At 49.4% G+C, this 12,609-nt stretch overlaps 1 protein-coding gene across 7 annotated transcripts in view; it reads right to left on the bottom strand.

Annotated features, from left to right (window-relative positions):
* Positions 1–11,303, bottom strand: part of SLC22A3 (solute carrier family 22 member 3) — a 104,200-nt gene extending 92,897 nt beyond the window's left edge. For 4 of the 7 annotated variants that reach the window (NM_021977.4, XM_047419262.1, XM_047419261.1 and 1 more), the window contains exon 1: positions 10,833–11,303. In NM_021977.4, coding sequence (NP_068812.1) covers positions 10,833–11,261 — 429 coding nt within the window. In that variant the 5' untranslated portion in view covers positions 11,262–11,303. Of the gene's footprint in view, positions 1–9,010; positions 10,024–10,495; positions 10,602–10,622 lie in introns of those variants that run through there. The other 3 variants (XM_005267106.6, XM_011536076.4, XM_017011203.3) reach the window with 3 other exon arrangements.
* Positions 11,304–12,609: the final 1,306 nt, after the last annotated feature.

The following is a 12,609-nucleotide window of genomic DNA, read 5'->3' as shown; positions in this document are numbered from 1 at the left end:
TCCAGAAGGCTAGATTTAATTACAGCTTTCTATTGCTTCATAAAATATCCTGTTTGATGTAGACCATTAATTAAACTGCAGGCTCTCCTTTTGGCCAAAAAATCCAGATGCTAAGATGTCTTTTTTGATATTTCCCTTTTTGCTGAACACCATAAGCTCTCTTTCCCTAATTTTAAATTTAGTATGATTGATTATTAAATGTACTCTGTTTTCTGGTAATTAAGGAAGAAAACAAGTTTCTAAGCAGGAAGTGAGTATTGATAACTGTAAGAATAAATTTTTGTCCCCATTGGCTATTAAACTACTTTCGTAAATTAAGTTTTAGTGTCTATTCAATGTTATGAGAATTGGAATGCTCAATATATAAAGCACTTTAGCCCAAATTTACTTCAACCCTAACCTGAAGCTCAACATTCATAATTAGTGCCCCACCACAACTGCTGTGTCTTCATTTCATAGATTTGGATTTGGGTTGGGGGAGTATTTTCTTTGAGGTCAGATTCTCACAGCAACACAAGCAAACTGTGATCTGATGTTTTCATTGCCTATAGGACCATTGCAACTGCCCACAAACAACATAAGGTAAATTTGCCTTATTGACTCAACTAGAATACAGGCATGAGCCAGATGGGTGCCTTTCTAACACAGCACCTTTGGGGCACTTTTGTTGTTCATATTTATTGAAGGATTTCCAGGCTCATGAGAAAACATGCGATGGAGTTCAAGCCCTGCAGCCCCACAGCTGAGTCTTCAGCCCTCACTGAGCTCTGGTCTAGTCCTGTCCTGGGATTTCCCGGTTTTAGGAAAGTCCAGGGCTCTGTCCCAGCGTCCCTCTGCTCAGACTGCAATTGGAAAGAAGTGTGGGGTTCTGAGTGAGTCCACATCCAGCAACCCCAGACTAGACCAGGCAAGGGGAGGACTTGGGCACCACAGTTAGTGACAAAGAGCAAGAAGGAGGGAACTGGCATGTGCCCAGGACCTTCCACATGCTCAGCGGTTCCTGCATGTTTCTCATTTGTCCCCAGAGCCACCCGGATGGGGGGATTGTTCACTCTATATCACAACTGAATCCACGGGGGCTTGAGAAATCTTGCCAAATCTGGTAGCTCCGACCTCTACCCTGGGCCTTTCCCTAGTTTTCATTACTAAGCTCCAGTTTATACCAGCTCCAGAGAGTGGACCCTGGCCACGTCCTTAGTATTGGAATCTTGGTGCCCTGCCTAAAGCACGCTTCCCTCAGCCCTAGGGGCTTGCCATTTGCCTGAATTTCCAGGCCCAAGCTGCCTCTCTGAGTCAACTTTCTCAGTATCTGTTGTCAGCATCTATGATCATCACCAGCTACTTACATATCTCAGACAACAGGACAAGCACTTTGAATGCCTTATTTACCTAAGTCTCCCCACTAAAACCAGGAAATCTCAGGACTGGGCTAGTCCAGAGCTCAAAAACCCTCAAATTCAGCCATTTGCTTGCATCCACAAAACTAGGAAGTCTACGTTCTTAGCCACCTATTTGCCTTAGCAATACACTACACTAAACCAGTTTGGATCTAAAATTTGATAATTTTTTCACAAAACTCTGCAACAATAAATTGTTATTATCTAATGATCTCTGGAGTTGATAAATAGACAATTTTATTTGGTTTTATAATGTATTCAACTTGGTTGGAATTAAAATAAAAATCATTATGTATGCTCTATTAGATACAGACTGGATAGGGAATTGTAGCAATCTTACAAGGATGCTAGGAGCTGACAAGAGATGTGATAAATTTGTCACATAATTTCCCACTAACTGCCACACAGGAAGATCAAGAACCTCTGTGGAAAAGGTTCCTGGAACACTTTCTTACACTCTAATAACTTGGACATTTATTTATTTGATTTCTTTAAAGTTGATGCCAAATTAATCTGAATTAGTTTCAATCTAATTTTCTCCTCTACCCTGGGTAGTTAATGTTTTTAACTATCCAGGTGACTTCTCTATGGGTATTTTCTTTAAGATACTCATTTGTGAACAATTAAAGGGCATTCATTTCTCAACAGATATTTGCAGTGCATTGCTTTTTAAAACGTCATCAATATTAAACGTGCAGGCTGTTTTCACCACAACCACTTAATCCCCATAAATGTGCTACAAACAGTTTTTAGTATAGGAGCTCCTGGCACCTTGTCCCTTCGGTTTCTGTCTCAGAAGCATCAGCTTACGGCGTCCCTCCCCACTAGCCTGGAAGCACACATGTTGTCTTTCATTTTGTGCTGTCGATTGCCCAAAGCTTCCCGTTGGCAGAAGTGTCATGAAATCAGAGCCATCCTGTGTGTATGCTAGGTGGACGCAGCAACTGGGAAAGGCTTCTGGGACGCTTTTCCATGTTGGGACCAGTGGTCTCTGTTAATGGAAAGCCAAAGACTTGCTTATCACTTGGTTATCTCCACTGCTGGTGCCCTATAGCAGTCCTATGACAGAGGTCACCTGCTCTCCCAGGACTGAATTTGAAAGCAGAATAGGTGCCTTTGTTTCTCAGGTCCAGGCTTGTGCCTACCCTTCCTCCATCCAGTGGTTTCCACTATGCTCACAGTCAAGGACAGCTCCCCTCCTTGGACTCTACAGGGCACTAGAATCTAGAGCAGATGTTAAGGAAGGTGGGATGGATGCCTGCCCCAGAATTGTTTAAATTACATTTATTTATTCACCTTCTTCTAAGCCCCTAAACTTCACCCCTCACTAATTTTCTCTATTATCACACAAGTACCAGCCACAGAGTTATTTTGCTTTATTACCAACACGAAGAGAAATAACAGCATGGTAACCCTTAAAAAGCTGTTACTGATCTCACCCAGATAAAACAGTATTAGCCATGATTTGACAAGCTCAACAGTCATTTATCATTTTAAAAAGCCACACCAAAGACCATTAAAACTTTGCTTTTTCCTCACAGAATATAAATACATGTCCTTTCTTGGTTATGATTTAAGAGGGGGTGGGGAAAAAACCGAGGCAGAATGTTGGAAAGGTTTTAGTTTGTTTTGGAAGGTAGGTGGTGTTTGCTCCCCACTCCATAGCCATGAAGGGGACAGCGCTGCACCCTGGGAGCTGCTCAGCCCAGGCCCTTCAGTGCTCCTCCCTGCACCGGGCCTTGCACCTGTGCCCAGCTGCCCTGGAGCAGGCTCGATTGATGACACAGACTACTGTGTGGTGCCAGGACAGCTGGGAAAAGTCTCTTCTGCACAATGGACGTCAGCACATTAAAATTATGGCCCCAAAGAGCCAGCAGTTCTATTCCTTCCTGTCCCTTTCATGTTCCAGGTCACACCCCCTACATTAGGATTCTGCGGACACAGACCCCATGAGCAGATAGGAGTCAAGTAAAGTGGAGGCCTGTTTTCCTCCTGCTCCAGAGGTCTGCGGGCGGCCATGGCCGCCGATGATTGTTCACCCTGTGACTGATCACACCTCATGGATGCAAGGCAGAAGATGATGAAGGCGGAGGATGAGGCAAGGAATCGGCGTTAGGAGTCAACAGGAAGCAACACCATCGGTAGAGGGCCTGGGTTAATCTCTGAAAGCCAATTCCAGGGTTGGCCTAGCCATGGTCATAAAAAGCATTACACGTGCCAAGGAATCCCTTTCTCTTTCATTCATTAATTTAATCACAAATATTTGCCAAACACTGCGTTAGGCTAGGAGGGCAGAGCGCCGGCCCTCCAGCACCTCAGAGTCTGATGAGGCAGTGAGCACAAGATGAGTAGAGGGAAGGCAGCTAGACAGATAAAGGAAGCCAAGCCCAGCCCTGGGTAGAGGCAGCAGTGGGGAAGGTGTGTCTGGAATTGGTGTGTGTAAAGGTACAAAACGGAACAGCCTCATGAGAAAAGACAAGTTTTTTGTTGTTGTTGTTGTTGTTGTTGTTTTGAGACAGAGTCTCTAACTGTCGCCCAGGCTGGAGTGCAGTGGTGCGATCTCAGCTTACTGCAAGCTCCGCCTCCCGGGTTCACGCCATTCTCCTGCCTCAACCTCCCCGGTAGCTGGGACTACAGGCAGCCGCCACCATGCCTGGCTAATCGTTTTTGTATTTTTTTTTTTTTTAGTAGAGACGGGGTTTCACCGTGTTAGCCAGGATGGTCTCGATCTCCTGACCTCGTGATCTGCCCACCTTGGCCTCCCAAAGTGCTGGGATTACAGGTGTGAGCCACCGTGCCCGGCCGAGGAAAGACAGGTATTTTGAGGAAAGGAAAGGAAACAGCGCACACAAGAGCCCAAGGGGAGGACAGCTGTGGCACATGTCCCAGGGTGACTGCCTGGAGAGTGGGAGCCCCGGGGGCTAAGAGAGGGAAAAGCCTCTATAGGCGGAGACATGGGGTGGAGGCACAGAGACCTTGTGTACCAGACCTAGGGGAGGATGCTCTTAGAGGCACCAGCCTCCATACCATTTTGTCAGGTGCCCACAGCCTCGTGACCTGTGCCCTGCCAGGAAGCACACTAAGATGCTGTATGAGTCAGAGCAGCCTAACAGGAAGAGCTGCAACAAGCAGTCTCCCAAGCCTCAGTTGTGTAACACAATAAAGCTTATTTCTTATTCGCAATCCCATATTCCTGTGCAGATGAATTGGTGTGGAGGGGAGCTGTGGGGCTCCTGCCTGCCTCGCATGCCTCCAGGAACGCATATCCTTCCGTGTAAGAGTTCCACCATCCTCCGGGGACTGCAGGAGGAAGGTTGCTCCGGCTCCAGGCTTAGCAGTTCCACATTCACTTCCCCAACATCACTGACCAGGACTCAGACACGTGGCCTCTCTAGCTTCAAGGGAAGCTGGGAAATATGACCTACCTGTGGGGTCCAGTGGGAAAGTATCGGTATTCTCAGCCTTTAGAGCAAATTAGTGTCCGAGATATTTTATTTTATTTTTTAGAGACAGGGTCTTCCTCTGTCACCCAGGCTGGAATACAGCAGCACAGTTCGACCTCCTGGGTTCAACCTTCTGAGTAGATAGGACTACAGGCATGCATCACCACACTCGGCCAATTTTTTAAAAATTTTAAAATATTTTTGTATAGTTGGAGTCTCAAAATGCTGCCTAGGCTGGCCTCAGACTCCTGGGATTACAGGCATGAACCACCACAACTGGCCAAGGCTTTGACTCTTTATATTTAAGGCAAATTTATCAGTGATTTATTATGCTAGACCAGGGATCAGCAAACTTACAGCTCCAGGGTCAAATCTGGCCCATAGCCTGTTCCTTCCCTCCCTCCTGACTCCCACCTGGCTTAAGGGTCTTTATGTGTTCACAGGAACCAACTGTTCTGAGCACCACCTATGACCAGGCACTTTGCAAGCATATGTCAAGCCAATTGCTAAGGCAGGCATTCTTGTACCCATTCTAGTGCTGAGGAAACTGAGGCTCAGGCAGATGCTCAGTTGACTTGCCCTTCAAGTTAATAGAGGAGCTGGGATTTAGGACAAGATTTATCTGACACCAAAGGACATGTGTATTCTTTCCACTCTACTAAGATGTCAATGCCAAAAATAACCCGTGGGTCCAAAAGTACAGATGTCTCTGCAACATCTGTTGGAGTCCCCTACCTTTGCCCAAAGCTCCTTTCTAAGGTTTACCAAGACTCCCAGAAAGTGTGGTTCAGCTGTGGGCTTCCCCCGCTCCCCAGTTAATTCCAGGATTTTATTATCAGTTGCCCATCCCTGGAGAGCTCAAAGCTCTCTGAAAATAAACAGCAGCATTTCATCTGATAAGATTTGGGATACCTGTCTGAGGATAAAGGGATAATGTTCCCCTCTGAGAGTCTCCAGGGTGTGCTTGGTGGAACTGGCAATTCTCTCCCAGTCATTATATTCTCATCATGCTCCTCATTAAGAAACACCCAGCTTGTCTCTCTGTGTGGTCCATGGACCATCTGAAAAGGGCCCTAGATGTTTGTGAAAAAGGAAAATTCCTGAACTCCAACCCTCGTCTTTTGATTCCAAACCCTGTGTGTGCGACCCGAGAATGCACACCAACCACTGCTCCTGAGGGCACAAAATAAATGGGTGCAGAGAAAATAATGAAGATGAGAGGGTGTGAGAATAGAACATCTTTTCCCTCATATTTTCCTCTTGGACTCCTCCTTGTACTCAGAGGTTGAGGTTAAGGTCAATGTACTTTCTGCCCTGGTTCACTCCTCTGTCCCATCAGAGGGTGGTACCCTTTATCACACCCACAGCCACTGTCATCACATTATCGCTGCAATTTTCCCTGCCAAGCTTCACGCTGTTTTGAGAAAGACTCGTGTATCTTTGTATCCCCAGCCTAGCCCAGTGCCTAGAATAAAATAAATGCTAAATAAACTTCAGCTGAACTGATGTTGATAATCCAAAATATCAGCTGCCAGAGAGGAGCAGGAGATACTCTTGCACATTCTCATAATGAAGGTCCTTATTGTAAATATTTTCCTTGTTCTGAGGTCCAGAAAGCATTGCTGCATGAATCTGTTTGGCCATTCTGCTGCCTAGACCAAGAATCAGACACCTAGTGGGGTGGCTGTTCACTCATTAGAGTCCTGCTTTCACTCCATTAAAAATAAACTATTAGGCTGGGTGCAGTGGCTCATGCCTGTAATCCCAGCACTTTCGGAGGCCTAGGCAAGCAGATCGCCTGAGGTCAGCCTGGCCAATATGCTGAAACCCTGTCTCTACTAAAAATACAAAAATTAGCCAGGCGCGGTGGCGGGTGCCTGTAATCCCAGCTACTCAGGAGGCTGAGGGAGGAGAATTGCTTGAACCCGGGGGGCAAGGTTGCAGTGAGCTGAGATTGCACCACTGCTCTCCAGCCTGGGTGACATAGCGAGACTTTGTCAAAAAACAAAACAAAACAAAAACCTATTACACTATTAAAACACTTTTGTCATCAACAGAAAGGACTAGTTACTCTGAGGGACAAGGGCCAACATAAAATTTTTGTTGAATTGTTGATGTTTCAGAAAGTATGGGAAAGACACACTCTTCTAATAAAAACAAACAATGGATTCAGTTTTTATAGATTCAGCCAGGTAATCTGGAAGGGAAAAAGTGATTCCAAGTCAAAATGATCTGGAAAGGAAAAACAAATGTGATTCAGTCTATTTTTAAAGGTGTTCTGAAGCCCTGCTCTGAGTGATAGCCTAGGGAAAAGCTCTTTTTTTTTCATCCATACCATATTAGCAAGCATTGAAAAATCCTAGCATCAATCTTGAAGACACTCCCTGGGCAGTGAATTGAAATATTTGGGACAGGGGGTCAGACTCGCTTCTCTGCGTTACATTGTATTTTATTCTGCCCAATATCTGACAACAAGATAAGGCCGAGATTCGGACATTAGAAAAGTCTCCACTGAGGAAGTTCAATGTGGGTGATAAATCCACTGCCTTGCCTTGAGCAGGAGACACAAATTAGGAGCTGGCCATAAAGGGATGTGCCCTTGGCATTGATTTCTGACTTAGTGTCTTAGAACTATCTCAAGTTGTAAGATGCGAAGGTGGTGTATGAGATTTAAATGACCATTTTGCAACTTTCACATCAGGAGGCTAGAGAACCATTCCCACCAAATGAAAGCACAGCCTCCCCATCTGCCAGTCTGGCTGACTGTGGATCCTGACACCGTAAAATGAAACAAAGTAGCCCATTGGAGGACCATGATAGTAAGAAAATAAATACAAAGTTTCAACGAGGTTTCTGCAGGTTATAAAGTGTGAGAGATCTGAGTACTATGTTTCATGGACTTGCTTGAAGGATTTTGAGCACTTTATGGAGGAAAGTGGACTGACTTACAATCAAGGCCCCCGGATTTGAATCCAGTTTGGCTACATAAATGGCGTGGGACCCTGGAAGGTCCTCAGGTCTCTCTTCTATGAAGCCAGGACAATGATACCCCTCCCACCATGGTGCAAGGATGAAGTATTATAGCTATATGGAGGCATTCTGGAGTCTGGTCATCCCGCCCACTTTGTAAACTCTCCCAATTCACCCCTTTGCATGATTTGTATCTTAGGCTTCAAGTTTATAAAAATACACTGGATACATAATGTTAGCTGAAGATGGAACTACAGTTCCTTTCATCAGACAGAATTTGAAAGAAAAAAATTAGTTGAACCAAAGACAGCAAAATATTAGCTATGCAGAATTCAGAGAGTTGCTGACTTGTTTTGGATAGTTGAACTTTATGAATAGATGGGGGTTTTCCTCTTAAGAAACCAAACATGAAAAACAAACCAAAAGAAGCACAAAACTATTTGGAATTTAAAAAGAGGCTGGGCGCGGTGGCTCACACCTGTAATCCCAGCACTTTGGGAAGCCAAGGCGGGCGGATCACGAGGTCAGGAGATCGAGACCATCCTGGCTAACACAGTGAAACCCCGCCTCTACTAAAAATACAAAAAATTAGCCGGGCATGGTGGCAGTCGCCTGTAGTCCCAGCTATTCGGGAGGCTGAGGCAGGAGAATGGCAGGAACCTGGGAGGCGGAGCTTGCAGTAAGCCGAGATCACGCCACTGCACACCAGCCTGGGCGACAGAGAGAGACTCCGTCTCAAAGAAAACAAAACAAAACAAAACAAAAAAGAATCTCTCCAATATATTTCAAAAACTTTTTTGGGGCTTTACGGGGTACATTCCTAATATCATTCTACTTTCTTAAAGACTTTTTAATCATTGTTCTGGGCACACCAAACAGTAACCAGGTGGTGACCCTGATGGCATTTGGAGCATTGTAACGGGCTGAATCCAATGGCTAATTTTACAGAGGAAAAATACAAGCCCAGAGAAGGCGAGTAACTCACCCAAGCCACACAGCCAGCTGGAGACCGAGCCAGCCCCTGACCCTCCATCATTCCACACTGCATTTTAGTAGCCACTGATCTTCATAAAATCACCTTATTGTAACCCCGGGATGCTAGTAACCCTGCAACTCCAGAATGCTTCCAAAGTATCCGTCAGAGCATTAAATTACAGATTTTTATGTCTGTCTTCTTTGATGTCCATGGATCATACTCACTCATGCAAACCTCGCTTGAGCACTTGTTGAGGCTCGTTTTATTCTTCATCTTTAAATGTCTCCAAAAATCAGCTGTCTGCCCTCCATGTGGGTCCTCTGGTTCACTTGGGAAGTAAGCATTAGGCAGCGCTGCTGAGTGGAGTGGAAGAAGCCACCTAACAGATGCGACTCACAGAGATAATGCCCTCTCTCATCCAAGTCCATGCCCTGTCCTTTCAACTGTGAAATCTCTAACCAGACCATCACCAATTATAAAGCAGTCCCCAGCCTTACCATGGATTAAGTAGAAATTAAAGATCCCAACACACATATGTATTGCCTGGCTGTCTTGCCAGGGGGGTTTATCCTGAGATCACTCAGCATAGAGCCACTCAGTGTGCGAACACACTTGCATGTGGCATTATAGAAACACCCTGAACACACATACACATTGCCTGGCTGTCCTGCCAGGGGGTTTTATCCCTGGAGCACTTAGCATAGAGCCATCCACTGTGCGAACACAGCAGCACACGGCGTTACAGAAAGATCCCAAACACATACACACATCGCCTGGCTGTCCTGCCATGGGTTTTATCCCTGGAGCACATAGCATAGAGCCATCCACTGTGCGAACACACCAGCACATGGCGTATAAAACATGTACAATTGCAACCACCGACACTCCCAACTGCAGCGAGATAAGCTCACCAGACCAACAGCAACAGCGGCAGAAAGGGCGCTCCTACCTCCTCATCCAGTGTTTTCCCCACTCTTCAAGTAGGTGATTTTTTAAAGTTTATCACAAAAAAAAGACAAACCTTTTTTCCTAATGTACCTGATCACATTCAATCTTTTTTTAAAATTAACTTAAGCTGTGATTGTAGACAAAGCTCAGTAAAACTGCTCATCTCTGCAACCCATGCTCAATTGAGGCCGTTTCTGAGTTCCGATTATTACAAAGTGACTCTGCTCTATATCTGGACCTCACAGAGAGGCAATCTTCCATTTCAGCAAGGATGCAGAAACAGATTACTGAGGGCAAGGGTGAAGGAAGCTCCCCTAACTTCCAAATGCACTGACTGCCCAAAATGTGGGGATCGCCCCCGCCCACCCGCCGGCAGCAGCCTCCGCCTGTAAATGGGTTGGGGATTTGCGTTGGAAGGCTGTGGCCCTCCCGCTATGTTCCTAAAATTTATTACCAGAAAAAAAAACTAAAATTTATCCAATACTTCAGTTTTCCCAACTTATCCCAGATGTTGCTCTTTGCCCCAAAGCAATTTTACCAAAACCATTCCCCGGGAAAGCCTCGACCTTTGTCCCCTTGCATTTTGAGTAACCATTTGGGCAACTGGAAAAAAGCTGCTGCTGCCTTCAAACGTTGGTTCGCCCTTTCCTTTGACCCTGGAGACCATAAGCGAATCCGGAACTGCCAACGTCGCTCACCCCAGAGACTGAAGTTCCCTATCGCGCACCTAACCATAATTTCCAATGACGGCGCCCGCACACCTCAAAGATAAGGAACGCGGTGCTGGGTCTTTGACTCCTGAGCAGGCGTGCGCCAGGCGTTTACAACTCGGCTTCGAAGAAAGTTTTTGTTCACACCCGAAACCAAAGTATCTGTGCATTAACTCACGGGCTCAGGCAGATAACGAAAGGCTTTTCCCAGCATTTACGACGCGGCACTTCCAAGGGTGCGCTGAATCCTGTCTGTCCCCAGAGGTAGCCGACCGGTCCCCGTCTCCACCGACCTCCCCTGGCGGCCAGCGTCTCACACGCGGCTTGTCCGCCTGGGAGCCAGCATCGTCCTCTCCCGCCGGCTTCCAAAGGGCCGGGGCGCCCTTACCTCGCTGACGATGGTGGAGTGGGCCTGGGCGTAGCGCCAGCCGCCGCGGCACGGCACAAGGGGAGCCGAGCGGTTGGGGAAGGCGGCGAGTGGGTCCGCGCAGCTGAGAGCGCTAGTGGCGGAGGCGCTGTCGTTGGCCGCCTCCAGGAGGTAGCGCTGGCAGCGGCCGCGGCGCTCGGGGGGCTCTGGGCCGCGGGAGGCGGGCGCCGTGCGGTTCCACTCCTCCTCCGGGCTCCAGCCGCAGCGCTCGGCCAGCGCCGCGGCACTTGGCCCGCGGCACCAGTAGTGGTCGGGCTGCGTGCCCAGGAAGACCACGCCGACGAAGAGGAAGGCGAAGGTGACGCCCGTCAGGCACAGCAGCAAAAACACGCGCCTCTGGAAGCGCCCGAACTCGCCCACCCGCTGCAGCGCCTCGTCGAAGGAGGGCATGGTGCGCCCGCCGCCCGCCGCCCGCAGCCCGCGCCTCGGAGTGACCCGCGGACCCAGCCGGCGGCCTCTCTTTACTCCGCCGCCTCCCCCGCGCCACCCGCCTCACTCGCCCTGGCGCTGTGCCGGCCGCAGCCGCTCCTCCTGCCCCCCGCGGCCCCCGCCTCTCTTCCCCGGGCGCCCGCAGCAGCCCCGGGCCACAGGTCGCGGGAGGGACGGCCGCGAGCCGGACGCACCCGGCCGGGGTGGGCGCGCGGTGGGGCTCGGGCGGTGCGGCCTGACTACGCGCCAGGGACCCGGCCGGGACCGCGAGTGACGGGCGCAGCCTCCGGCCTGGCGCGGAGCTCCTTTTGGTCCCTGCCAGCAGCCTGCTCTGCAGTCAGCCCCAGGTCGGGCTCCAGAAGAAGAAAGTTCCAGGGTCACCCGACCACTCCCGGAACTTCTGGGACCCGATCTCTCAGCGGCCCGGAGTGCAGCCCGGGGACTAAGGACGCGCGCGCGCGCCCCGGGTCCGGTGCCTGTGCCCGGGAGAGCCCCCTCCAGCCCTTGGCCCTTGCGCGTGCGGAGGCCTCCTGCGCCCATGTGGGGCAGGGCAGGGCAGGGCAGGGCAGGGCAGGGCAGGGCAGGGCAGGGCTGCCCGTTCCCAGCACAGCGCTGGCCATCGCCCTCGACCCATCGAGAGCTACAACTTGGGATTTGATCACCCAACTTTCCCCAGAGGGCAGCCGGGCAACCCACACAGGCGAAGGGGCTTGCTCAGCGTCCAGGAGGTTTGGGGTGAGAAGGGATCGCCTCAAGGCCAGGCCTGATGCAGACCTCCTTCGCCAGGGCCTTCCCACCCACCTTCGGTCTGAACGCCAGGGAAGGGTGTTGGTGGTTGGTTTGAATCCTGGTTTTTCCGCTTACTTATTGCGCCTGCCAATTCGGCAGAGCGCGATCAGAACTTCCCGCCCAGGCTGCCCAGGCTGCTGGGTCCATGCTGGGACGCCTTCCCCGGGCTGGGTCGCGGTCCCCCCACGCCCCCACGTTATCGGCCCACGTTCTGCCTTTAGCTCACTTTTCTCCAAGGCCTTGGGAGGACTTGCGGTTCCTCCTCCGGAACAAGGAGTTTGAAGCCAGGCTGCTTGGATTCAAACTGGCCTCATGTCCTCACCAGCAGTTTCAACTGCCCGCTGGACCCCAGACTCAGTCTGTCCCCCTCCAACCCAGCTCCCCTTTCCTGCCCTGCCTTTCGGTGCAACCATGTCCTGGGCCCAGACTCAGAACCTCAGTATGGCGGGGACACCACTCACTCCTCAGGCCTGTACTCTTAGGTCATCTCGGCTTGGAACCCCTTTTGCCAATGTTGGAG

This window comes from Homo sapiens, chromosome 6 (genome assembly GCF_000001405.40).
Source record: "Homo sapiens chromosome 6, GRCh38.p14 Primary Assembly".
Classification (NCBI taxonomy): domain Eukaryota; kingdom Metazoa; phylum Chordata; class Mammalia; order Primates; family Hominidae; genus Homo; species Homo sapiens.
The sequence above is the reverse complement of the archived record's forward strand: the minus strand, read 5'-3'. Positions and strand labels throughout refer to the sequence as shown.